General features: G+C 49.5%; 1 long non-coding RNA gene, 1 other non-coding gene and 1 pseudogene across 4 annotated transcripts, besides 3 other annotated features; all 3 read left to right on the top strand.

The window, feature by feature from the left end:
• Positions 1,065–1,565: an enhancer, noted in NCBI's record as "H3K27ac hESC enhancer chrX:3761495-3761995 (GRCh37/hg19 assembly coordinates)". NCBI's record gives its function as "activates a minimal SCP1, AML or CMV promoter by ChIP-STARR-seq in primed H9 embryonic stem cells {active_cell/tissue: H9 hESC(primed)}" and the evidence as "EXISTENCE:reporter gene assay evidence [ECO:0000049][PMID:30033119]".
• On the top strand, positions 1,125–27,484 carry LOC389906 (zinc finger protein 839 pseudogene; annotated as a pseudogene). Its single transcript, NR_034031.1, has 5 exons — positions 1,125–1,678; positions 15,627–16,513; positions 26,316–26,362; positions 26,519–26,577; positions 27,241–27,484. The product of NR_034031.1 is annotated as a zinc finger protein 839 pseudogene (transcript).
• Positions 1,528–1,767: a silencer, noted in NCBI's record as "silent region_20648". NCBI's record gives its function as "represses an Ori minimal core promoter by ATAC-STARR-seq in GM12878 lymphoblastoid cells {active_cell/tissue: GM12878}" and the evidence as "EXISTENCE:reporter gene assay evidence [ECO:0000049][PMID:35858748]".
• Positions 6,569–6,642, top strand: TRI-GAT1-1 (tRNA-Ile (anticodon GAT) 1-1). The gene has a single exon. It is a non-coding gene; the product is annotated as a tRNA-Ile (tRNA).
• Positions 14,622–15,461: an enhancer, noted in NCBI's record as "H3K4me1 hESC enhancer chrX:3747599-3748438 (GRCh37/hg19 assembly coordinates)". NCBI's record gives its function as "activates a minimal SCP1, AML or CMV promoter by ChIP-STARR-seq in primed H9 embryonic stem cells {active_cell/tissue: H9 hESC(primed)}" and the evidence as "EXISTENCE:reporter gene assay evidence [ECO:0000049][PMID:30033119]".
• LOC124900487 (uncharacterized) lies at positions 18,348–24,347 on the top strand. Of its 2 annotated transcripts, XR_007068383.1 has the most exons (3): positions 18,543–19,931; positions 22,439–22,645; positions 22,734–24,347. It is a non-coding gene; the product is annotated as an uncharacterized LOC124900487 (long non-coding RNA). The 2 variants fall into 2 exon arrangements; XR_007068384.1 differs by having other exon boundaries at positions 18,348–19,931; positions 22,439–24,347.
• Positions 27,485–27,503: the final 19 nt, after the last annotated feature.

Below are 27,503 nucleotides of genomic sequence, written 5' to 3'. Positions count from 1 at the left end.
GTTGCTGAGATTACAGGCATGAGCCACTGCACTGGGCTGCCTTCTTTTTATATAAAATTTACTTAGTGCCTGAAACTATTTTATCCCAGTGCTCCAAAAGGCCTACCATGTGCCCCTAAATTCATCAGTTTTTCTAACTCCCATACTTTTTGTCCATTCATTCCTGCTCTTTCTTCCTGGACGGCTCCGTCTAGCATCTCTTGAACCCCATCTCCAACATGAACTGTTTGTCTATGGAACCTGGTGAATGGCTGTCACCCTGGCCACCAACTACACTTCTCTCCTCCACCGGATCTCCTAACTTTCTGAATCCACCTCTTACTTGTTCTCAGTTTGCGCCGTCCATTTTCTGAAGAACATCTTGTAGTAGCTGTCTAAGAAAAGGTGTCAACAAAAAGAGTCAAACTCTGTAAAATATTTGAAGAAATTTATTCTGAGCCAAATACGACTGACCATGGCCCATTACACAGCCCTCAGGAGGTCCTGAGAACATGTGCCCAAGGTGGTTGGGGTGCAGTTTGGTTTTATACATTTTAGGAAGGCATGAGACAGCAATCAAATACATTTGAGAAATACATTGGTTTGGTCCAGAAAAGAGACAAGTAGAAGTGGTGGGTGGGGGCGAGGGGGTGGAGGAAAGGGGGTTCCAGGCTGTGGGTGAATTTAAACATTTTCTGGTTGACAGCTGGTTGAGTTTATCTGAAGACCTGAGATCACAGAAGGGAATGTCTGGGTTGTGATAAGAGGTGGTGGAGACCAAAGTTTTACTATGCAGATGAAGCTTTTAGCTAGCAGGCTTCAAAGACAAGAGAGAACAGGTTGTAAAATGTTTCCTCCCTCCTGAGTAGCCGGGTCTGGACCTGTGCGCCTCTGCGCCTAAGAGGGTCGGGGCGGTAGGTCGGGGTGAGAGGTCGTCCTGGGTGCCACCCGAGGGGCGCCTCGGGCGCGGAGGGGGCGTGAGCACCTCCCCAGGGCCGCGCCTGCCCACGGTGGCGGGGCACGCCCAGGTCTCTGGCTCCTGGGCTGGGTCGCGGCAGGGGCGGAGCGCGTGCGAAGGCGACGCCCCCAGCCCCTAGGCCTCGCCCAGGCGGCTTCCGCCCGCCTCTTCAACGCGCACGCTGCTACCGAGCTGCAGGAGGCCGCGGGCGCGAGACTGGGAATGCGCAGGGCCCCCGCCTGGCTCTACAAGCCCGGGCCGCGGCCCCCGCCTTCCCCGCCGCCTCCCGGCGCTCCGTGCCCGCCCCACGAGGCCGGCGGCTGCTGCTACCTGGGGCCGTTGCTGCTTGTGCCGTGAGCGACGGCCAGCCATTGTCCCCGCCGCTCCGTCAGCCGCGCCCGGCCGCGCGCGCACCGGAAGGCGCATTGGCGTCTTGCGGGCTCCGGGCCGGGTGGGCAGGATGGCCTCCACAAGCCGCATGGCGCGCATGGGGAGCCTCCGTTGATGCCGCCGCGCCGCCCTCCGAGGCTGCATCCGCGGAAGCCCGGCTCCCCGAGCGCTCCGGCCCGGCCCGGCGCCCCGGACCTGAGTGCGTCCCCATGAAGGCGCCCGGGCTGGCCCAGGCGGCCGTGGCAGAGGAGACCCCGGACTGGGCGCCCGAGCTCTGCCCCAGCTCCGAGGCGCGGTCGCCGGAGCCGCCTGCCAACCGCCTTCAAGACTTCGACACGCTGGTCACCGTGGGTGAGTGAGTGCGCGCGGGGACTCGGCCCACAGGGGCGCGCGGCGCGGCCGGGACGCTGTCGTAGGACAAAGGGCCCCGGGTGCCCGCCTCCTGGGGAGGGCCCTGCCCCGCCGCTGCGGCTCGGGATCCCAGCGCGGGGCTGCCCCTGCGCCCTGGGTCTCCCTGGGGGGCGCTCGGAGAAGTAGAGCGCACCCCCCAGCCCCGGCGAGTCCCCCGACCGACCGGGTGCCTTCCCTGGAACGCCGACGGCTCCTGTCGGGGACCACCCTCCACCCCCAGCACACACAGCACTCTGGGGCCTGGGCCATCCGACGTCACCAAACTTCCTGTGGATCACCTCGCCTGGGGTAACTCGTGCGCTCTCCCAGGCAGCGGCCCCAGGGACACGGGCGCGGGGTCCCTCAGGCCAGCCTCCCAGTGTGCCCAGCGGCAGGGTCCTCGGCGGGGAATGTACAGATTTCTCCAGGGGCTGCAGGAGCAGCTGGGCTCCGGGGTACAGGTGTTCCGTGGCTTTGTGGGGATGAAGACGGCGGAGTTGGGGACGGATCCTAACATGTCCTGACACCGCCTGTGCTCTTCGTCTTGTGCGTCTGAAATGGGTAATTCTTGTATTGGACGCTTTATCTCGTTTCCTTTGTCCTCTTTGAACTTAACTCCCAATGGGCAGCTTGACAGAGAGGTTTCGAGTTCTCGGTGCGCTTGGATCCGGACCACGCGCTGGTTTATGGGGCAGCCCTGAGTGGGTCAGAATATCCCAGCCGAACGTGGGCGCTGGATTTAAACAGTTGTCAGTGGTCAGCCTGTGCCTTCTTAGCGGGGTGTGTTGCTGGGACAGGTCTTCTCAGGCTCTCTAACTCCTGTTTGTCCTCTCATTTTGGACAGGAGGAAGCTAGGCTGGGAAGCCCAATGGCTCAGGGTTATAGCTTCTGGCTTAGGAAGACCAGCAGCCATAGCCCAGGAGCCTTCAGGCCTGCTGAGGAAGAGGGGACTGTGCTTCCTTCAGTGACCTTTTTGGCACCTAGGCCTTGAGGAAGGGGTCATGAGGAAACCCTGATTTTGGAAGGATAGTGGGAAGAGGGCCCTCTCTTTTTCTCCTGTCCCTCCCTTTCTCCTATTACATTCTCTCTCTCTCTCTCTCTCTTTCTCTTTTTGTCTCTCTCCCTCTTTCTGTGTCTTTATGCATTACTCTCTGTATTAGTCGTTTTTACGCTGCTGATAAAGACATACCCTAGACTTAGAAGAAAAGGAGGTTGAATTTCTTTTTTTTCTGAGACGGAGTCTTGCTCCTGTCGCCCAGGCTGAAGTGCAGTGGCGCGATCTAGGCTCACTGCAACCTCTGCCTCCCGGGTTGAAGTAATTCTCCTGCCTCAGCCTCCTGAGTAGCTGGGATTACAGGTGCGTGCCCCAACTCCTGGCTAATTTTTGTACTGTTAGTAGAGACGGGGCTTCACCATGTTGGCCAGGCTGGTCTGGAACTCCTGACCTCAGGTGATCCACCCACCTCACCCTCCCAAAGTGTTGAGATTACAGGTGTAAGCCACCATGCCTGGCCAGGAGGTTTAATTTGACTTACAGTTCCACATGGCTGGGTAAGTCCCATAATCATGGCAGAGGGCAAAAGGTACTTCTTACATGACGGCAGCAAGAGAGAATGAGGAGGAAGCAACAGCAGAAACCCCTGAAAACCCATCAGATCTCGTGAGACTTATTCACTATCATGAGAATAGCACGGGAAAGACCCGCCCCTATGATTGCAGTTACCTCCCCCTGAGTCCCTCCCACAACACGTGGGTATTCTGGGAGATACAATTCAAGTTGACATTTCAGTGGGGACACAGTCAAACCGTATAATTCCACCCCGGCCCCTCCAAATCTCATGTCCTCACATTTCAAAACTAACTGTACCTTCCCAACAGTCCCCCCAAAGTCTTAACTCATTTCAGCATTAACCCAAATGTCCACAGTCAGACAAGGCAAGTCCCTTCCACCTATGAGCCTGTAAAATCAAAAGCAAGCTAGTTACTTCTTAGATACAATGGGGATACAGGTATTGGGTAAATACAGCCATTCCAAATGGGAGAAATAGGCCAAAACAAAGGGGTTATAGGGCCCGTGCAAGTCCAAAATCCAGTGGGGCAGTCAGATCTTAAAGCTCCAAAATGATCTCCTTTGACTACAGGTCTCACATCAGGTGCAAGAGGTGGATTCCTATGGTCTTGGGCAGCTCTGTGCCTGTGGCTTTGCAGGGTACAACATCCCTCCCTGCTGCTTTCACAGGCTGACGTTGAGTGTCTGTTGTGTTTCCAGGCCTATGGTGCATGCTGTTGGTGGATCTACCTTTCTGGGGTTTGGACGACAGTAGCTCTCTTCTCACAGCTCTACTAGGCAGTGCCCCAGTAGGGACTCTGTGTGGGGGCTCCAACCCCACATTTCCCTTCTGCACTGCCCTAGCAGAGGTTCTCCATGAGGGCCTCACCCCTGCCACAGACTTTTGCCTGGACATCCAGGCATTTCCATACATCTTCTGAAATCTAGGCGGAGGTGCTCAAACCTCAATTCTTGACTTCTGTGCATCTGCAGGCTCAACACCACATGGAAGCTGCCCAGGCTTGGGGCTTCCATCCTCTGAAGCCACAGCCTGAGCTCTACGTTGGCTCCTTTCAGTCACAGATGGAGCAGCTGGAACCCAGGGTACCAAGTCCCTAGGCTGCACACAGCACAGAGACCCTGGGCCCAGCCCACAAAACCACTTTTTTCTCCTGGGCCTGTGATGGGAGGGGCTGCTGTGAAGGTCTGTGACATGGCCTGGAGACATTAGACTCCTTCCTACTTATGCAAATTTCTGCAGCTGGCTTGAATTTCTCCCCCCAAAAATGGATTTTTCTTTTCTACTGGATCATCAGGCTGCAGATTTTCAAACTTTTATGCTCTGTATCCCTTTTAAAACAGAATGCTTTCAACAGCACCCAAGTCACATTTTGAATGATTTGCTGCTTAGAAATTTCTTCCGCTAGATATTCTAAGTCATCTCTCTCAAGTTCAAAGTTCCACAAATCTCTCGGGCAGAGGCAAAATGCCACCAGTCTCTTTGCTAAAACATAATAAGAGTCACCTTTGCTCCAGTTCCCAAGAAGTTGCTCATGTCTATCTGAGACCACCTCAGCCTGGACCTTATTGTCATAATCGCTATCAGCGTTTTGGCTAAAGCCATTCAACAAGTCTCTAGGAAGTTGCAAACATTCCCACATTTTCCTGCCTTATTCTAAGCCCTCCAAACTGTTCCAACCTCTGCCTATTACCCAATTCCAAAGTCGCTGTGACATTGTTGGGTATCTTTTCAGCAATACCCCACTCCCGGTACCAATTTACTATATTAGTCTGTTTTTATGCCACTGATACAGACATACCCAAGACTGGGAAGAAAAGGAGCTTTAATTTGACTGACAGTTCCACAGGCTGAGGAAGTCTCGTAATTATGGCGGAGGGCGAAAGGCACTTCTTCCATGGTGGCAGCAAGAGAAAATGAGGAGGAAGCAAAAGCAGAAACCCTGATAAACCCATTAGATCTCATGAGACTTATTCACTATCACCAGAATAGCACAGGAAAGACCGGCCACCATGATTCAGGTACTTCCCCTGGGTCCCTCTCACACCACGAGGGAATTCTGGGAGATAAAATTCAAGTTGAGATTTCAGTGGGGACATGGCCAAACAATATCATTTTCTGTTTCTCTATTTCTGTCTTTCCCCGTCTCATTTTTTTTCTTTTCTTTTTTTTGAATGAATCATTGAAAATGACATTTGCAATTATTTCGGGATATACTTAATGACAGACTATTAAATGCAAAAAGGAAGACAGAATACACTTTTTCAAGCAAGGCTTTCCATTCCATTCATTTATTTATTCATCCCGGAGTGCTGGGATTAAAGGCAAGAGCCACCACTCCTGGCGCAAGGATTCCGTGTATATATATAGAAATACATGTGTACAGTGAAAGGAAATAAAAATGGACAAGAAGGAAGTCGAGACCCCTGCAGCCGTTATTTTTTGGGCAATAGGGAATTCGGTGGTTCTTTTGGCCTTTGGTTTTCTGGGTTTTCTGAGCTAGATTTAACCATGCTGAAAGGCTCTTGATACACGAAGTTGCCAGGCCTCAGGATTCTCAGAGTTAAAACCAGCATTGAATGGGAATGTTTGAAAACCTCACTGCAGAGCCAAGCCTCCCATGTGCAATTTGCATTTTCCCTGTGGAAGCCTGCGGTTCCCTGTAGGAAGCCGTCTCCCTTCTCCTTGAAGTCTCCTAGGTCTCAGTTTCTGCATCCACCCAATGGGGATGACAGTGAGGCGGTCAGAAGTCGCAGCTGGGGCCAAGCGGGGAGGCAGCCAGTGGCGCGGGCTCTGCAAGAAAATCAGTCGCGGGCCGGCGCGAACACGGAGCCCTTTCAGACGCTCGGGCAGCACTAGATGGTCGGGCGGTCGGTTATCTCAGTTGGTGAGCGCGTGGTGCTGATACCGCCATGGTCGCAGGCTTGATCCCCGCACCGGCCCTAGTCCCAGTTTTTTGTTGGTTTGTTTCTTTGTTTTCTCCCCATGAACTGTTTCTGCAACTCTTTTTCAAAATGCGCCTTTCAGGTTCTGTAAGCCCCATGCGGGCAGGAGCGACTTGCGGGATCTCTTGGACTCGGCCCAGAGGTTGTCGAGGACAGCCTGGCAGGGAGGAGCGGGAGAAACCCGGCCAGCGCTGGGGCGGTGGCTCCTCCCCGGAGTCCCCGCGGCTGGGGCAAAGCGGAAGGCAGCCAGAGGCGCGCGGGCTTGGCGAGGAATCGCTCGTGGACGGGCGCGAACGTGGAGCCCTTTTATACGCTCCAGGGGCACTGTGCCGTCAGGCGGCCGGTTAGCTCAGTTGGTAAGAGCGTGGTGCTGATAACACCAAGGTCGCGGGCTCGACTCCCGCACCGGCCACGGCGTTAGCTTTTTTTTTTTTTTTCCCGCCGCCACCCCGCCATGAACTCTTTCTACAACAGTTTGTGAAAAATGCGCCTTTCGGGTACTGTGAGCGGCGTGCGGGTAGGAGCGAACTGCAGGATCTCTTGGTCTCCCCGCCCAGAGGTTGTCGAGGGCAGCCTGCTGGGGAGAGCGGGAGGTACCAGGCATGCGCTGGGGCGGTGGCTCCGCACCCGAGTCCCTGCACCCTCCGCCACCTGCAGGCCACTCAGGATATCCAAAGCGATCCACATCTCCGGCCCTCAGCCCCCACCCCTGCCGCCCCCGCGCTTCCTGAGGCTGTGGCTCCCCTGGAGGAATCACCCAGTGAAGACGGGTGCTCCCAGATGTCACCGCCTCGTGTTCCCTTGGCCGCCTTGCGGGGAAGTCTTAGGGTTGAAAATCCAGGTCTGCAATGAATGCATTCCACAGATGGTGTGTAGGGCTACTGCATGCCCAGCACCGTTCTAGGCGGGGAGCAAAGCGGTAAGTGAGACACAAATCCCAAGCCACGTGGAGAAAGTGACCAGCCAGTAGATGCCTGCCATGTTTTTAGAGAGGCGTTCTGGTTGTGGAAGCCTCTGGAAACCTTCTCTTGCTCTTCCCCCCCACCCCCCGTTTCTTTTCAGAGACATCTTAGGCTTCACATTTCTTCCTCTTGGTTCTGCATTTTGCAGCCAGAGCAAGTGGATGAGTTTCTCGCTGGTGGTTCAAGTTTCTGGGGTGGTCAGGTGTGCTCCGTTGAACGAAGCCAGTTGTGTAGGGTCAGTGCCATTTTCTGTCACGATCCAGCAGGGGCTCCACCTGCTTTTGAAAACTCTCCAGTGGAAACATCTACTAACTCTGACCTAAATCAGTAGCTGCTCAAAATCTACAGACTACTGGCTTAAAACCTTGGTAAGTGCCCAGGGTGTAGTGAAAGTTCTCAATAAACGCCGGCTGGTGGCGCTGCTGCTACTATAAGCAACGTTAGGAGAGCCTGGGTCGGCTGACACCTGCAATAGAAACCTGTACGCAACAAGTTGGATGTCACATCTTGCAGTAGTCGTGCCGGGTTAGATGCAGGGACAGAGCACGGAGGAGTCGGTGGAGGCTGCTGCCCTCAAGTTTCCTGAACTTGAAGGGGTTTAGAATGTGCCACGGTGGCGTGAAAATTATTTTGAGCAGAAGGCATTTGAATTCCTGAAATTTCTTGTCTGCTGAAAAGCAGAGCTTCCCATAAGATCTCAAAAGAACTCAGTTGTCATAAATCCCTTCTTGGGAAGGAACTAGGAAAGATTGACTTGGGCCAGGCGCAGTGGTTCACGCCTGTAATTCCAGCACTTTGGGAGGCCTAGGCAAGTGGATCATCTGAGCCCAGGAGTTGGAGACCAGCCCGGGCAACATGGTGAGATCCTCTCTCTATTAAAAAAAAAAAAAAAAAAAAGAAACGAAAATTAGCTGGGCATGGTAGCGCATGCCTGTAGTCCGAGCTACTCCAGAGGCTGAGGTGGAAGGATCACCTGAGCCCGGGAAGTCGAGGTTGTAGCGAGCTGAGATGGCGCCACTGCACTCCAGCCTGGGCAACAGAGTGAGACCCTGTCTAAAAACAAACAAACAAAAAAAAATGTGGTAAGATACCCATCATATGAAATTCACCATTAAAAAATAGCAGGGAGCATCGTGAATGCGAAGTATTGATGAGGATGATGGTGATGTTCCAGAACCTTCTCTGACACCAGCCTGGCGCCCCCCCCCCCCCCCAGCCTTACCTTTCCTGGCTTCATGGTGCTCATCATACTGTACTGCAAATGCTGGTTTCCTCCTTCTCGCCAGCTAGACCCGTGGTACCCCACAGGGAGGGAATGGCGACTCACCCACCAGGCGCTTAATAAGTGTTTGTTGGCCAGTGGACCTCCTACGCTCCCTGGGGAGAGGGACTGGGACTGGGACTGGGACTGGGACGTGTGTACACACCTGCAGCTACAAGACTCGGTGGGGAGGGTGCACAGAGCCTCGACCCTGTAAGAGAGGCGATCGGGCTGAGGAAGACGGGGCACTGGGGCTGGATGGATGGGACGGACATGTGGAGAGGGTGGGTTCGTGGATTTGTTCACCCGTTCATTTATTGGTTTCTATGCATCCATCCATCTTTCACGCCTTGAGCGTGCGTTCTGGGCAGGGCCTGTAATGGGCACCGAATGAGTAACATATCGTCTCTCCCTTCAAGGTACACGCAGCCTGGGTGGGTGAGGGGAGAGACGGTAGGGTGACATGGGAACAGTTTGGGGTTTGGGAAGCGCTCTTGTTAAAAATTCAAACTTTGGGTCCCCTCTCAGATTTATAAACCTAAACGTTTGCTGGTGGACCTAGGACTCCGCGTATCCAGGCAGGATCCTCCGCTGATTGGGGTGCACGATGACGTCAGAACACGTGGATAACGTGATAACTTGTGGGCCAGGGGCTTTGGAACCTCAAAGAATGTGATAACTTTTGGGTCAGGGGCTTTGGAACCTCAAAGACCTCCGCCTGGGAGATCGGGGACAGCTCCCGGAGGAGGTGACATCTGAGTGTTAAACACATCCGTGACAGGCAATGAGAAAATAAGGTGGGTCCGCTGTGCTGATCGGCCCTAGGGGCCGCGGCGGCTGTCCCGGCCGGGCAGCGTCGCCTTCCGAGGTGTCTTGGCCTGCGGGGCACTCGTAGCCCGCCGCTTTCCCAGGTGAGGCACGTCGTCGCCCAGCGACCCAGGTTGGAGTCCCCGCTTCAGCCGCCGCGGCGGATGCGGCGGCCAGGCTTCTCCGGGCCAGGGCAGCGTTGCACGTGTGGCCCCGCTGGGCCCCGAGCAGCTGCGGCAGGTCCTGAAGCGGGTGACGAAGGCGCAGCTGCTGCCGCCGCGGCCCATCAGGCCGCCCTCCAGCGGGACCCTGGCGCCGAGCCCCCGTGCCCGCCACGCCTGCTGCCGCCCCAGGTGAGGCTCCGGGAGCGACGTGGGGAAACTGAGGCCCGGAGGGGGCCGAGGCCCCGCGGCGGGGTTAGCTGCTTGGCCGGGGTGGCCAGTATCCGGCCCCAGTCAAGACTCAGGGTGTCCCGAAGCTGAGCCCCTTAGGGACGGCGTTCGGCCCCCACCTGCCACCACCCTGGCGTTTTCACCCCAGGAGCCTCACTTGAGGAGCCGATGCTCACGCTGGGCCCTCTGCCTGGGACGCCGTCGTGCCCTCTCTGCCTCCACAGCCCTGCCCGGGGCTCCCCTGTGCTGCCTAGCTCGTCTGACACGCCTTTGACCACTCGTTCAGCCTCTGTGGGGCACTCAGAGACGGGGTTGCCCGCACTCCCACCTAAGTGCAGGAGGTGCGGCCTTCAACACACTCGAAGAACGAACATCAGGCAGGTTCTGGGAGGGACAGGGGGCCGCTTTAGAGTGGGTGGGCCCGTAGGCCAGACGCTGCCCCTGAGACCTGAATGAATTAAAAGGAACCAACTGAGCTTTTCAGGTCTCAGGCACAGCAAGTGCCACGGCCCAGCATTTTCTTCTCTTCATTGCTGCTTCTCAGCATTTTCTTTCTCTCTCTCTCTCTGTCTCTGTCACTGTTTTTGCATACAGATACTATGCTTTTGGGGTGGGTACTCTCATTGTCCTTCCAGGGGTCCTACACGGCGTCTGTAAAATTCCATCTCATTTCATTGCTGGCGCTGTAAATAAAATTAGTCTTAACCCAAAATTGCCAAAAGAAGAGGGCTTTTTCCACTAGAAGAGATGCGTTAGAGAATAGAATCAGCGATCTTCACTCCTGAGTTTTTTCGACTTCACTCGTGATTTTAGCTGCCTGGGGTTGTTGTATCCAGTTCATCATCAAGAGTGGAGAGTTGTCTTGCTAAGGTTTAGGAAGGCAAGTATGATTCTGCCCAAATGCCACACTATCTAGAGGTGTGACCTTGGGCAACTCGACCTTTTTGGACTGTGGTCTGGGTCCGAAGGCTGCAAGACGCCATCCCGGGACAGCCATCTGCTGAGCCTCTGCTCTGTGCCGGGCAGTGTTCTGGGTTGCTTAGCTCGCAGTAGTGTTTTTGTACCAGCATTTTGCAGGGAGGTTGAGTGGCTTTGTCCAAGATCCCTCAGGTGTGGCTGCTCTCCAGAGCCCTTGTTCTCCCCAGCACACCCTGCTGTATGTGGCCACAGCTTTTTGGGTTTGGAATGGAGTAAAAAATGACATACTTTTCATAAAGTAAAAGCAAACTTAGTCAAGATCAGGCAGCATGATGGGACTTATTCTGTAGCTAATCTGATGGAGACGTATAAATTCTACCTCCAATAATGTACCTTTGTAGCACATTCTGCTAATACTTTTTCAGCCCCAGCTGTGTCGTGGAAGCCACGAAGTCAAACCGGATGTGTACTTTGCCCCTCAGTAGCTGATGAACTAACAGGAGATAAAACATGACCCAGATACCTGCTAATCAAGGCCTGAAAGCTAGTGATGAAGAACTAAATGTAGTTAGAGAAAGGGAGATTGTTTCTGGCCGAGGAAATCACAAGCAGCTTTGTTGAAGAAGTGGTATCTGAACTAGATTTGAAAGGGTGAGTCTGAGTTGAAAATGCAGAAGAGGAGAGGCAGGTTCTGGAGCAGGTGGCGGGGTGCATTTCAACAACCACAGCAGACTGCCCAGTGGTTCGCTGTGGGGGATGGTGTGGATCAGAAGCACAGACCAGTGGACACACTTGGGTCAGATGGAGGCCCCTGTCTCTCCGCATCTTCCCTCTTCCCACCCCCCAGAAATGTCCAGTTCCATCCAACATGCCAACCCCTTTTCATGCATCCATGCATGTACACATTTTTCTTTGTACTCAGAATGCCCTACCTGGCAAAAATTCCCAGCCTTCAAAACGCCCCTCAGAGATCACTGCTTCTGGTCTGTTCTGCCTCTTTATTGCACCTGTTGTACCATGATGACATTTTTCCCGTCTGCCTCACCTGTCTGCATTCCTTAGGGAAACTTGTCTGCCTTCGAAATCGTCAGCGGAGCTTTTGAAAGGGCAGATCGGGTCTCCGACCCAGGAGATCGATTCAGCAGGTCTGCGGGGACTGAGGCATGGCAGGGAAACTGCCCACCATCTCAAGGGTGAGGCTAGGAGTTGGCTAGTGTGTATGTATTCCATCCAGAAATATTTAGTAAATGTTCACCAAACAAAATAAAAACACACAAGAAAGCATGAGGCGTAATACCCACGGGGTAAGCCAGTCAGGATAGAGGATGAATACATTATTAGGCCGGCTTTGCTGCTGTGGTTATCCTAAAACAATAGGGTTTAGGTTGTGTGTCTGTGTGTATATGTATTTTGTTGTTGTTTTGGGGTTTTGTTGAGACAAGGTGTTGCATTCTCACCCAGGCTGGACTGATCACGGCTCACTACAGCCTCAAACTCCCAGACTCAAACGATCCTTCCCCCTCAGCCTCCCGAGTATCTGGGGCTACAGGCATGTACCATCAAGCCTAATTTTAAAATGTTTTGTAGGCGGGGCTCGGTGGCTCACCCCTGGAATCCCAGCACTTTGGGAGGCGGCGGCGGGTGGATCACCTGAGATCAGGAGTTTGAGGCCAGTCTGGCCAATGTGATGAAACCCCGTCTCTACTAAAAATACAAAAATTAGCCAGTCACGGTGGCGCATGCCTGCAATCCTAGCTACTAGCGAGGCCAAGTCAGGAAAATCGCTTGAACTCGGGAGGCAGAGGTTTCAGGGAGCCAAGAATGCACCACTGCAGTCCAGCCTAGGCAACAGTGAGACTCTTTGTTTTGGGTTTTTGTGTTTTTTTTTAACGTTTTGTAGGGACAGGGTCTTGCTCTGTTGCCCAGGCTGGCCCTGAACTCCTGGCCTCAAGCAATCCTCCCACCTCAGCATCCCAAAGCACTGCTACTGCAGGTGTGATTTGTGTTTGGCCCTTAGAGAGAGATTCTATGTGATTGGTAGTAAAATGAAACAGACATCGTTCTTGAAGGATATGCACAGCCAATCTAGTTGTCATTTGATTTGCACGTAGCCCAGGAATGGGGACTCCCAGGGTTGTGGTGCCACCTCGGTACACTTGACCTCTGTTATTTGTACTAGTGTATAACAAGAGCCAGACGAGAGACACACTCCAGCCTGATCTCAGTGAGGGTCTTTATTCTGTCTTGTTTGACATTTTTATTGACTTTCTACTGTTTGAGGGTCACACCAGAAGGTTGAGTCCAAAGAGGGCCAGTTGGTGGTCCCAAATAAGTGGTTCTCAACCGAGGACAGTTTTGCCCCACAAGGGGCACTTGGCAATATCTTGTCAGGACTTGGGATCACTACTAGCATCTAGTGGGTAGAGGCAGAGATGCTGCTGGGCATCCTCCAGCCACCCATGTCAAAGGATTATGTTCTGAAATGTTGGTTGTGAAATCATGCTCTGGATGACGAGGTTTGCCTCTTTTTCTCCCTGGAGGAAAATGCTCATTATTTCTGCTCTGTGAGGGCAGGAGCCTTGTTTCTTTTGCTTCCTGACCTTCTCCCCTAAGCTGTATGAGAACTGTTTCTCTGACACCTGTAGCAGTGTCTCATGCACATGGTCAGTACTCAATAAATATTTGTGGGATGTTGTCGAAGGTAGCTCTCCCCTTTGGTAGGTGTTTTGCTATTACAGACAGTGCTGCCTTGAACCTCATAGAACATAACATCTTTATGGCCATCTAAGTTTTTTTAATTTTGGAATCCAGGAAGTAGAATTACTGGGTCAAAAAGCACATGTATTTGAAATTTTGTTAGATATATTTGTAAAAAGTTGTTGAGGATATTCAGCCCGGCCGGGCACGGTGGCTCACGCCTGTAATTCCAGCACTTCGAGAGGCTGAGTGGGGCAGATCACTTGAGGTCAGGAGTTTGAGACCAGCCTGGACAACATGGTGAAACCCTATCTCTACTAAAAATACAAAAATTAACCAGGCGTAGTAGCACGTGTCTGTAATCCCAGCTACCCGGGAGGCTGAGGCAGGAGAATCACTTGTACCTGGGAAGCGCAGGTTGCAGTGAGCTGAGTTCATGCCATTGCACTCCAGCCTGGACAACAGAGCAAGACCTTCTCTCAAAAAAAAAAAAAGAAAAAGATATTCAGCCCTACTCCTAGATACATGCCCCTGGAGAAACTCACACATGTACACACATACATCCGTGGAGATTCAGAGCAGACCTTAGAGCAGAAGGTTGGAAAGTACCCATCCATCAATAGGAGATTGGTAAACTCATACTGCAGAGAAAATCAACCCCTGAGAGCTACACATGTCAATGAGGGTAAAATTCACAAAGCAAAATGGAGTAAAGAAACCTGAAAAAAGCCCTATCAAGTTGCAGGAGATGATATCATTTCTATAAAGTTTTAAAGCATTTCAGAACTGAACTGTATATTTTTAGAAATATCTGCATATGCCATGTAAATATTTAAAAAGCATAAGAATGCTGAACAGCACATTCAGGACAGGGTGAAGAAACGGGCATGCAGGTTGGGCAGGAGGATCCTGGGTAACATTGTCCTTTATGGCTTTTTTGTGGCTTCTAGAATTTCATTAGAAACTTTTTTAAAAACATGGTCCCACATTATGAATTACATCTGATTTTAGAGTACTAAAAACTCCAAGCAAAAACACATGGGTGAAACTGTTGAGAAGGCTCTTATTATCTCTTAATTCATCATGAAATCAACTTAGTGGATTATGACTAGTATTTTTTTTAAAGTGATGTAGATTAGGGTCAGTGCGGTAGCTCACACCTGTAATCCCAGCACTTTGGGAGGTCGAGGCGGGCGGGTCACTTGAGTTCAGGAGTTTGACACCAGCCTGTCCAACATGGTGAAACCCCGTCTCTACAGAAAATACAAAAATTAGCCAGGCATGGTGGCGTGTGCCTGTAATCCCAGCTATACAGGAGGCAGAAGCAGGAGAATCACTCGAACCTGGGAGGCGGAGGTTGCCGTGAGCTAAGATCGCGCCACTGCACTCCAGCCTGGCCAACAGAGTGAGACCGTCTCCAAAAAAAAAAAAAAAAAAAAAGGTGATGTAGAAATGAAGAATAGATACAATCAGCAGGCATTTACATAGGAATGCTAAGTAGTTCCATCAGCTTTTCATTTATGTATGCAAATATTTATATACGTGCATACTAGGTCATAATGTAAAATGTGTCACTGTGGTCTGTTTTTGTTTTTTGTTTGTTTTTGAGACTGAGTCTAGCTCTGTTACCCAGGCTGGAGTGCAGTGGCAGGATCTCGGCTCACTGCAGCCTCTCCGCCTCCCAGGCTCAAACAATTCTCCTGCCTCAGCCTCCCAAGTAGCTGGGAGTACAGGAATGTGCCACCACACCCGGCTAACTTTTGTATTTTTAGTATAGATGGGGTTTCACCATGTTGACCAAGCTGGTCTGGAACTCCTGGCCTCAAGTGATTCAGCCTCCCACAGTGCTGGGATTACAGGCGTGAGCCACCGTGCCCGGCCATTTTGTTTGTTTTTTGAGATGGAGTCTCGCTCTGTCATCCAGGCTGGAGTGCAGTGGCGCGATCTTGGCTCACTGCAACCTCGTCCTCCCAGGTTCAAGCGATTCTCATGCCTCAGCCTCCAAAGTAACTGGGATTACAGGTGTGCACCACTACACCCTGCTAATTTTTGTATCCTTAGTAGAGAAGGGGTTTCACCATGTTGGCCTGGCTGGTCTTGAACTCCTGACCTCAAGTGATCTGCCCACCTTGGCCTCCCGAAGTGCTGGGATTACAGGTGTGAGCCACTGCGCCCGGCTTGTATCACTGTGGTTTCTGGTCAGAAAGGTCTGAAAAACAGTTAATACAAACACGTTACATAAATTGTATATGTAAGACGTAATTTAGAAAAAATGTCAGTAGTGGATTTACTATGACAGCAAAATTGCAGACATGTTGATAAGCACAATGCTTCTTTTCCCTTTCTTGTCTTTCTGTAGGAAAGCAACTAGAAGCCATTTGTGTCAAGGTAACGTCTGGAGAAACAAAAGGTCAGGAATGGCCAACGTCCCTACTGGCCACAGTCCAGCCCCAATCTGCAAGACAGAGCCAGCCGCCCCGGGGGAATTCCCGCCTGGTGGGACTCCACGTCACCAGCCCCCAGCTGCTCAGGGTACAGCCCCTCGTGAGAACCGAGCCACAGTCATGTTTCCTACATCAGCCTCCTGCTCAGGGGTTTGTACAGAGACCACTGCCAGCCCTCTAGGTGGTCCCTGCAAAGAGAGTCCCAGCCCCCAAGGCTCCAAATGGACAGGGCACCATGTTGACCCCTTCGTCGGCCTCCAGTTTGCCGACTGTAACATGTTTCATCCAGTTCAGGACGTTTATTTATTTCCAACTTGCATACAAAACATACTGAGAAACTAAAACCATCGTTAAAAGTGAAGACACGTTGAGACAGGTATCTCGACCTGCCAAGTATAAAGCTAAAGCTGAGTTCATAAAAAGGGATGATTTGGCCGACGGTCATCTGCCAGATTCTGATGATGATTCAGAAGTCAGTGTGGAAGAAGATCAGAGGGAGAGGCAGGCGCTCTTTGACTTATCAAGCTGCTCCCTGAGGCCCAAAAGCTTCAAGTGTCAGACTTGTAAAAAGTCATATATAGGGAAGTGGGGACTGGCCCAGCATTTTAAACTTAATCCAGGCCATGGCCAGCTGGACCCTGAGATGGTGCTATCTGAGAAAGCCAATGGGAGCACCCTCCGGGGGTGCACAGAGGAAAGGACGCTCAGCCTGACCTTCCCGGGGCTGTCCGTGCCAGCGGCTCCGCGTGAGGGAGGGGCCCGCTCCTGCTTGGTGAGAGAGTCAGCACGCGGTGGCCTGCAGGTAATGTTTGCATCTGGGTGTCGTTTTCGGCCATTCTCACACTGTTATAAAGAAATACTTGAGACCAGGTATTTTATAAAGAAAAGAGGTTTAGTTGGCTCACAGTTCCACAGGCTGTACGGGAAGCATGGTGCTGGCATCTGCTCAGCTTCTGGGGATGCTTCAGAATCAGTCACGGTGAAGGCAGAGTGGGAGCAGGCATGTCACGTGGCCACAGCAGGGACAAGGGGCCGGGGTAGGTGCTGCACACTTTTTTTTTCCTTTTCTTTTTTGGAGACGGAGTCTCGCTCTGTCGCCCAGGCTGGAGTACAGTGGCGCGATCTCGGCTCACTGCAAGCTCCGCCTCCTGGTTTCACGCCATTCTCCTGCCTCAGCCTCCCGAGTAGCTGGGACTACAGGCGCCCGCCACCACGCCTGGCAATTTTTTCTATTTTTAGTAGAGACGGGGTTTCATCGTGTTAGCCAGGATGGTCTCGATCTCCTGACCTCATGATCCACCCACCTCAGCCTTCCAAAGTGCTGGGATGACAGGCGTGAGCCACCGCGCCCGGCAGGTGCCACACACTTTTAAACAACCAGCTATCATGAGAGCAGCACCAAGCGGATGGTGCTAGAGCAATGAGAGATTCAACCATATCAGTCCTTATTCCTGCCTCTGCCTGCCCATCATCCTTAAGTTGACCTTTACAATGTCTGATGGGGGCTCAGGCGAAGGCTCAGGCAGAACCAGAATCATTCTTGTGGAGGATCTGAGACCCCTCATGTTGTCTGCACTGCTGCCGAACAGGCTGGAAGATGCATGTCTGTGTGTCGGCATGATTTAGTGAGCAAATCTGATGGGAACGCAGCCGTTTCTTTAGGTTTGGTCAGTAAAACCAATGGCAGTGCGCTCTTGGCTGACGCTGCCATTACAGAGGGTGATGTTGAGAAAGGCAGTCCCTGGGGATGCTTCTGGTGTGTCAATAGCCTCTGGCTGCTCAGCGTGTCCTCTCCCTCCTGCCCCTTCTGAAACTCCCGATAAAGCAGGTGTGAGTCGCTGTAAGTTTGCATTATCACATCAAAATTTTTTTTCCAACATATTTTATTGTAGTAAAATATACATAGCATAACATTTACCATCTTAGCCATATGTAGGTGTGTGGTTCAGGGGCACTAAATACATTCACGATGTTGTACGGCCATCACCCCCACACATCTCCAGAACTCTTTTCATCTTGTACAACTAAAACTCTGAGCTTCAAGTTGGGGTAAGCGGGGCGGGGGTGGGGACTAAAACTGTCCCCATAAACACCAACTCTCCATTCCCTTTTTCCCCAACCCTGGCAGCCACTATTCTACTTTCTGTCTCTATGATTTTGACTACGCTGCTTTCTTCACAGAAGTGGAATCACAGAATATTTGTCTTTCTGTGACTGGCTTATTTCACCTAGCACAGTATTCTCAAGGTTCATGTTGTAGAAAGTGTCTGAATGTCCTTTAAGGCGGAGTAAAATTTCACTGTGCCTACCACATTTTGCTCATTCATTCATCTGTCAATGGACACTTGGGTTGCTTCCACCTTTTAGCTATTATGAATAATGCTGCTGTGAACACGGGTGTTCAATTACCTCCTTGAGACCCTCCTTTCAATTTTTTGGGGTATATATCCAGAAGTAGGATTGCTAGATTTTAAGTGGAATTTTCATTTTCTTTAGTTCCTTTTCAGACTGTTCATTGTTTGTTAGTATTTAGAAATGCAGCTGATTTTTGTGTATTGACTTTTTTTTTTTTTTTCAGTCTCACTCTGTGGCCCAGGCTGGAGTACAGTGGCGCAGTCTGAGTTCACTACAGCCTCCACCTCCCAGGTTCAAGAGATTCTCCTGCCTCAACCTCCCGAGTAGCTGGGACTACAGTCACGTACCACCAGTAATTTTTTATATTTTTAGCAGAAACGGGGTTTCACCACGTTGGCCAGGCTGGTCTTGAACTCTTGACCTCAAGTGATCCATTCACCTTGGCCTCCCAAAGTGCTGGAATTACAGGTGTGAGCCACCGCACCTGGCCTGTGTATTTACCTTGTATGCTACTACATTGCTGATTTCATTTATTAGTTTTTTTTTTTTTAATTCTTTTTTAAAAAAGAAAAAACAGACACAGTCTCGCTCTCTTGCTCTGTCGCCCAGGCTGGAGTGCAGTGGCACAATCTTGGCTCACTGCAACCTCTGCCTCCAGGGTTCAAGTGATTCTCGTGCCTCAGCCTCCCAAGTAGCTGGGACCACAGGTGCCCACCACCATGCCTGGCTAATTTTTGTATTTTTTTGTAGAGATGGGGTTTTGCCAGGTTTTGCCATGTTGGTGAGGCTGGTCTCGAACTCCTGACCTCAAGTGATCTGCACACGTCTGACTCCCAAAGTGCTGGGATTATAGGCACAAGCCACCATGCCTGGCCTCATTTATTAGTTCTAACGTGTGTGTGTGCACACACGCTCTTTAGGCATTTCTACTTATAAGATCCTATCTGCAAATAGAGATAATTTTACTTCTTTCTTTTCAATTTTGATGCCTTTTATTTCCTTTTCTTGCCTAAGTGTGCCGGTTAGAACTTCTAGCACTGTGTTGCATAGAAGTAATGAATGCAGACATCCTTGTCTTGTTCCTAATTTTAGAGGAAAAGCTTTCAGTTTTCACCATTGAGTGTGTTGTGGCTTTTTCATATATGAATTTTATTATGTTGAGGTAGTTTTCTCTATTCTTAGTTTGCTGAATGTTTTTAATCATGAAAGCGTGTTGAATTTTGTCAGTGCTTTTTCTCCGTTAACTGAAAAAATCATACATTTTTGGAAATGGAAATGCAGCCACATATAATGGCCAGCCTGGGCTCTCCTGGTGCCCACTTGCCCCAGCCGGCCTCTTACACCCCGGGCTCTGCTCCACTCTGAGGCTGCAGCCCAGACTGCCTGTGCCCCACACTTACCATGGATGCAGGGTCAGTGCACCCCTCTGGAGCTGACAGCCCAGCCTGTGCCCAGGACCTTTCTGCCTTCCCTTCCCGCCCTGTCCTGAGAGCTCACCGTGCCCTCTGTGGCCCCGACCCCAAGGCTTGTTTGTTTCTTGGCCTGCTCCTCCCTGCCCTGCGCCATACGGAACACACAGTAGGTGCTCACTGGGGAGTGAAGGAAACGCCCACCACTGAGTGGCTGCTCAGGGGCTGAGAACCGAAACTTTGTTTAGGTTTTCTTCTGTATTTTCCTTGCCTCAGGTTTAAACTTTTTTCTTAATCTTTATCTTCACAAAGGTTGAAAAAGATCATCTAGCAAAGCCTTTTTTCCCAGCTACATATAAGGAATTTGAAAGTCACATAAAATGGTTAAGAAAATGTGCCAAGATTACCTCAGTAATTCTGGTCTGTGTTCTCAGGAGACCCTGGAAATAAACAATGGTAAGGTACAATCTCCCATGGCAGAAAGAGTTTCCCTCAGAGTTAGCCAAAACAAGGGCCAGGCGCAGTGGCTTACACTTGTAATCCCAGCACTCTGGGAGGCTGAGGCAGATGTATCACTTGAGGTCAGGGGTTCAAGACCAGCCTGGCCAACATGACAAAACCCTAATACAAAAATTAGCCGGGCATGGTGGTACATGCCTCTAATTCCAGTTATTCAGGAGGCTGAGACACAAGAATTCATTTGAACCTGGGAGGCGAAGGTTGCAGTGAGCTGAGATTGTACCACTGCACTCCAGCATATGCGACAGAACGAGACTCTGTCTCAAAAAAAAAGTCCATGAATGAAGGAGAATGTTTTTAGTAATGATATTTTCCTAGTCAGCCTCATTTTAGCTTCTTCCCATCAAGTGAAATTTTTTTTTCTTAAAGCAATAAATGCGACCGGGCGCGGTGGCTCACGCCTGTAATCGCAGCACTTTGGGAGGCCAAGGCAGGTGGATCACAAGGTCAGGAGATCAAGACCATCCTCCTGGCTAACAAGGTGAAACCCTGTCTCTACTAAAAAAAATACAAAAAATTAGCCGGGCGTGGTGGCATGTACCTGTAGTCCCAGCTACTCAGGAGGCTGAGGCAGGAAAATCGCTTGAACCCAGGAAGTGGAGGTTGCAGTGAGCCAAGATCATACCACTGCACTCCAGCCTGGGCGACAGAGGGAGACTCCGTCTCAAAAAGAAAAAAAGCAATAAATGCTCTTCCAGAAAACTCAAAAATGAAGATAAGCTAAAAGAAAATGGAAAGCACCAGAATACCAGAATCTTTCCACTCACTGATGATCAGAGTTAATACCTCAGGTACCCTTTTCGTCTTTCTGTTTTTGAGACAAGGTTTCACTCTGACTCTCAGGCTGAAGTACAGTGGTGCAAATACAGCTCACTGTGGCCTCGATTTCCCAGGCTCAAGCAATCCTCCCTTCTGGGCCTCCCAAAGTGCTGGAATTATAGGCATGAACCACTACACCCAGCCCTGTTTTCTTCTTTACGTGGGTTTTTGGGGATGGGTTATATAGGAGCCATTTCATTATTGTTTGTGGTTTTTCTGACACAATTCTCATTTCAGTGTCACTGTTATCATCAAACTGCTTTTAGCTACATTGGATTTTTTGGGGTTTTTTGCATAGAGTCTCGCTCTGTCGCCCAGGCTGGAGTGCAGTGGTGCAATCTCGGTTCACTGCAACCTCGGCCTCCCGAGTTCAAGCGATTCTCCCACCTCAGCCTCCCCAGTAGCTGGGATCACAGGCACCCGCTACCATGCCCGGCTAATTTTTGTATTTTTAGTAGAGATGGGGTTTCACCATGTTGTCCAGGCTGGTCTTGAACTCCTGATCTCAACTGATCCACTTGCCTTGGCCTCCCAAAGTGCTGGGATTACAGGTGTGAGCCACTGCGCCCAGCCCCTGCTGCACTTTAAGCAGAGAGAAAAACACTGTAGTCATAAGAGCTATTAAATACAGTACATAATTTTAAAACATTTTTGAAACACAGAAAACACATACTTTTTTGATCTCAGGAAGGAGGAGGAGTTAGTAGGGGAGGCTTGCACCCATCCATGCTTCTGAGCGTGCACTCACACATGCATGCACACTACCACTCATTCACATACACTCACACACACTTGCACTCATGCCCTTTACACTGTGCACATTCAGATCCACACCATGTACACTCATACACTGGCAAACCCACACATGCATCACACACCTACACTTGCACTGTCACACGCACATACACTTAAGCACGTTCACACCCTCATGGTTACACTCACACGCACAGCCTCACATATGCACACTCAACACTCATACATACACATTTACATGCTCTCATTTATACACACTGATACATCCACACACCATCACACTACACACACTTTTACATGCTTTCACACATACCCGTTGGATATGGACACACCAACAAGCACTCATTCCCACACATGCTTGCACTGCACACACTGACACACTACATGCCTTCATAGTTGACACACACTTCCATGCATTCACTCACCTTTTTGCACACTCATTCACACTCCCATCACAACACTGACACACTTCTGCCTGTCCTCACACGCCTACACACTTGCCACACACACACTGAGTGTTCCATGCACACTCACATCCTGCGCATTCAGTCACTAACTTACCCTCATGACCACACACACACAGACTTTCAAATGCACTCATCCACAGACACATATTCTCATATGCATACGCACTTGCACACAACCCTCGCACGCTTGTTCACACTCCCTGACATGCAGTCACACTAGCCATCACTCATGTGCTCACACACATACACACTCACACCCCCTTTGCACACACACTTCCCCCACCCACTCACCCCAAGCCCACCTGACAGGTGACACACTTTACCTGCGGGCTGGGATGGCTGGTCCTCTGCCTGGGCTTCGAGGTTCCTTGGGGGCAGCGGCTCATGCTGGTTTTCCCACTGCAGTGTCTTCTGTGGCTTCAGCGTCACCTAGTGCAGGCTGCCATTCAACAAACGCATTGTCAACAGTCAACCAAAAGAAACCCATTGGCCACCATACCCTGAGGACTAACCCTGACACAGATGCCCTTCCAGATGCCCTCAATAGTCTAACTGATTCCATCGCCCCAGCCTTGGGGGAGAAGCACTGCTGCCTATGCACTCCATTTACAGGTGAGACTGGGAGAGGTTTAGGGAGTGGCCAAGTCCCCTGCCTACACAGCTGCCTCCCAATCTATCTTCTCACCCTCCCCCTTCTCAGGCTAAAATCACACTCGATGTTTTTATGGGATCATTTGATCTGGACATTGTCAAAGAAAAAATTGCACCAGACAAGTTAAACCTTCAAGGAAGGACTCAGTCAGGACTACTGCAATACGGAAGAGAGGAGCTTAACTTCATTGAAACAAAAGGCTGGGGAGTTTTTAAGTGCCGGGGTGAGATGCTGAGAAGGAACTGGAGACATCAGGAAGAGGTTAGGAAATGCCGTAAAGCTATCTGCGTTGGCTCATTGGAATTTTTCAAAACTGGGAATCTGCCCTTCTACAAAAACTGAGACACAGATGTATCATCTCCTTCAATAATTGCATTTTAAAGGGATGGCTCTGAAGTCTTGAGAAAGGCATTCCTGGGTTGCAAAACTAGGAGGAGGCTAGAAGAAAATTTGGGAGAAGATTTGCCTCTCAAAGAGGTAGAGAAAGAACTCACAATTGCAAGTTTCCTAAAATAAATCCTCCGTGAAAAAAGGAGGCCTGATGGATGGAACTGGAGGTCATTATGTTAAGTGAAATAAGCCAGGCACAGAAGAAAAATACTGCATGTTCTCACTCACATGTGGGAGCTTAAAACCTGGATCTCATGAAGATAGAGAGTAGATTGGTAGCTACCAGAGGCTGGGAAGGGAGATAAAAATAGTTTGATTAATGGGTACAAATAAGTAGGGGTTTTTGTTTTTTTGGAGACAGAATTCTGCTCTGTTGCCCAGACTGGAGTACAGTGATACGATCGTAGCTCATAGTAACCTGGAACTCCTGAGCTCAAGTGATCCTACCACCTCAGCCTCCCCAGTAGCTGGGACTACAGGTGCGTGCCACCATGCCAGGCCGATTTTTGTATTTTTTGTAGAGACAGGGTCTCAGTAGATTGCCCAGGCTGGTCTCAAACTCCTGGGCTCAAGCAATCCTCCCGCCTTGCAAATACAGAGTTTGATAAAAGAAATAAGACCTACTGTTCAATAAATCAGCAGGGTGACTGTAGTTTACAGTAATCTATTGTACATTTCAAAATAGCTAAAGATAAGAATTTAAATGTTTCTAGCTTAACGAAAAGGCAAATATGTAGGGTGATGAATATCTTGATCACAATGATGTGATCTTTACAAATTGTGAGTGTATTTAGTAATCACATGTACCCCCAACATATGTGCATCAATTATGTATCAAAAAAATTAAAACTAAAAAATAGACAAGGAGGTCGGGAGGAAAACTGTGTAACAGTCAAGCTGAGGGAAATGTGAAGGCTGTCTTAGTCAACAGATTTGCCTTTTTCCCTTTAATCTGCTAATTATCAATTGATATGGTTTGGCTCTGTGTCTCCACCCAGATCTCACCTTGAATTGTAATAATCCTCACATGTGGTGGAAGGGAACTGGTGGGAGCTAACTGAATTATGGGGGTGGGTTTTTCCCATGCTGTTCTTGTGATAAGTGAATGAGTCTCAGAAGATGGTTCTATAAAGGGCAGTTCCCCCTGCACATATTCTTCTGCCTACCACCATGTAAGACGTGACTTTGCTCCTCTTTTGCCTTCTGCCATGATTGTGAGGCCTCCCCAGCCATGTGGAACTGTGGATCCATTAAACCTCTTTCCTTTATAAATTACCAGTATTAGGTATGTGTTTATTAGCAGCATTGAGAACAGACTAATACATCAATAACTCCCTTTGAGGACATTTTAGCTGTTTGGAAATGTCTGCTCCTATCTTGTTTTTGTTTTTGTTTTTTTGGGACAAGGTATCACTCTGTCACCCAGGCTGGAGTGCAGTGGCACGATCTTGAAACTCTCAATATAAATGCCTAAGGTGCAGCACTTGGCAGATAAGAAGCCATATGCAGACACATTCTTTTAAAAGAACACATCATTATTTGGTTCTTTCTCATGTGAGAGTCGGATGACTCAGAGCCAACATAAATTCCAAGTGGTATGCAGAAAACCAATGCATAGCTGGAGAGGGTAATGAAGGTTAGTATCTGCAGTAAGGCTGAGTCGATGCAAACGGCCACACAGTCATGGATTCACAATGATCTGGGTCTCCATCATCCTGCAATCCAACACCTTGCACAGCCTTCAAACACCAGCTGGGAATTCAAAAGTGGCATGTGCGGTAGCAGGAGATCTGTTCACCCTCTTATTTCCTCTCATCCCCATGTAGCAATCTGGTGCAATCACAGCTCACAGCAACCTCAAACTCCTGGACTCAAGTGATCCTACCTCCTCAGCCTCCCTAGTAGCTGGGACTACAGGTGTGTGCCACCCTGCCAGACTGATTTTTGTAGAAACAGAGTCCCACTAGGTTGCCCAGGCTAGTCTCGAACTTCTGGGCTCAAGCAATCCTCCCGCCTTGCAAATACAGAGTTTGATAAAAGACCTCCTGAGGTCCTACAGAGAGAAGTCTTTAAGCTCCAGGGCAGAGACAATTTGCATTTTTCTCACCACCCAGGGAATGCTAACTGGGCAGCCCAGGGTACCCGGGAGCTCAGGCCATCCAGTGTCCTTTGAGATGTTAGGAGGAAGCAGAACAGCCAGCTGCCAAATGAAACACGGCAAAATGCTCACCCTTCAAGGGTCTGCTTTTGTTTTGTTTTTGTTTTTTGAGACAGTCTCACTCTGTCGCCCAGGCTGGAGTGCGCTGGTACAATTTTGGCTCACTGCAACCACCACCTATTGGATTCAAGCAATTCTCCTACCTCAGCCTTCCAAGTAGCTGGGACTACAGGCACGCACCACCACGGTCGGTTAATTTTTGTTTTTCGTTTTTTTGGTAGAGACGGGGTTTCACCATGTTGGCCAGGCTGGTCTCAAACTCCTGACCTCAAGTGATCTGCCTGCCTCAGCCTCCTAAAGTGCTGGGATTACAGGCATGAGCCACCGCGCCCGGCCTCCCTCAAGGGTCTGAATCCAGCCAGTGTCCTACGTCATACCTGCTTCAGCCTATGCAATGGAGAGAGCCTGAGATTTTATTTCAATAAGAAAATCTACTGAGTTGCATTACATCAAACTAAAAGGGAGAAACACAAATATAAAAAATAAAAATCCAGAAATTCCAACACTAGGCAACCCTCCAAAATGTGGCAAAGCTCTGTGTATATTAAAAATGTATTGAGTCCGGGCACGGTGGCTCACGCCTATAATCTCTGCACTTTGGGAGGTTGAGGCAGGTGATCACTTGAGGTTAGGAGTTCAAGACCAGCCTGGACAACATGGTGAAACCCCATCTCTATTAAAAAGAAAAAAAAAATTAGCCGGGCATGGCGGCAGGAGACTATAATCCCAGCTATTTGGGAGATTGAACCCAGAAAGCGGAGGTTGCAGTGAGCCAAGATCACTTCACTGCACTCCAGCCTGGGCGACAGAGTGAGACTCTGTCTCAAAAAAAAGAAAAAAAAAAAGCATTGAAACATGCGACATCCACCTTTTTGTAATAGTTCCCATAGCCTACACAAATGCATATGAAATGCTTAATATTTTGCTTGCACTATTCTTTTCTGCTGGAAGGGTGGTTCTGACTAAAAAATTTTACTTTCCCATTCTTTGCTTTTTCATTAATGCTATTTTCTTTGCTCCAGGGTTATAGAGTGGAAAGTCCCACAATCTTTTTCTTCTCTATTTTCAGGTAGATGCATTTTATTACTATATTCTATCTATCCATTTATTCCATCTATCTATTCCATTTATCATCTACCTACCTATTATTATCTATCATCTATGTATTCCATCTACCTGTCATTGATCTATCTATCATCTACCAATCTACATTTTTGTCTTGTAGAAAAACGTTGACCTCTTGGCGAGAATGCAAAGAAGGGAACGCTTGCTTATACGCTGTTGGTGAGAATGTAAAATTGTACAATCTCTATAGAAAACAGTATGTAGATTTCTCAGAGAACTAAAAATAGATCTACCCTTTGACCCAGCAACTCCAGTAATGGTTATCTACCCAAAGGAAAGAAATTATCAGAATAGACACCTACACTTATATTTTTATTACAGCACAATTCACAATAGCAAAATCATGGAATGAACCTGAATGTTCATTGGATGAAGAAAATGTGGTATACACACACCAAGGAATACTATGCATCTATAAAAAAGAATGAAACTATATCTTTTGCAGCAACATAAATGGAGCTGCGGGTCAATATCCTAAGTGAAATAACTCAAACAGAAAATCAAATACCACATGTCCTCGCTTATAAGTGGGAGTTAAAAAAAATGGGTACACATGGACCTATAGAATGACATTAACAGACACAGGACACCTTAAAAAGGGGGAAGGTGGGAGGGGATGAGGGTGGAAAAATTACCTATCTGGTATTATGTTCACTGTTTGGGGGTTAGAAGGCCAATCCCCACCGCTAGGCAATATATCCACGTAACAAACCTGCACCCTTATGCCCTGAATCTATTTGTTTTTCAACATTGACTTCCATGGTCACTATTTGTGAAATCACTCCTCATGAACCAGGACTTGCATGTTTTTTTGTTTCTCAGGTGAACTGTCACCCCTACAACTCAGCTTGCAACCAGCCCTGGCCACCAGTTTCCCCACACTGAGCTGAATATCGGACATGCCCATCTCAGACATTCCAGCCCATTCTGAAATTCCACATCGATTCACCTGACAAAGTCTGAAGTTCCAGGGCAATTTATCTGGAAAAGCTTACCTGGAATCACGTGTCATTTCAACCAACAACTGTTGAAGAGGACGTGGCATTAAAACCAAGGGTATCAATTATTTATAAGGGCTGTGTGCT

Source organism: Homo sapiens, chromosome X (assembly GCF_000001405.40).
Source record: "Homo sapiens chromosome X, GRCh38.p14 Primary Assembly".
Taxonomy (NCBI): domain Eukaryota; kingdom Metazoa; phylum Chordata; class Mammalia; order Primates; family Hominidae; genus Homo; species Homo sapiens.
Note: the sequence above shows the minus strand (reverse complement) of the source record. Positions and strands in the feature narration are given on the sequence as shown.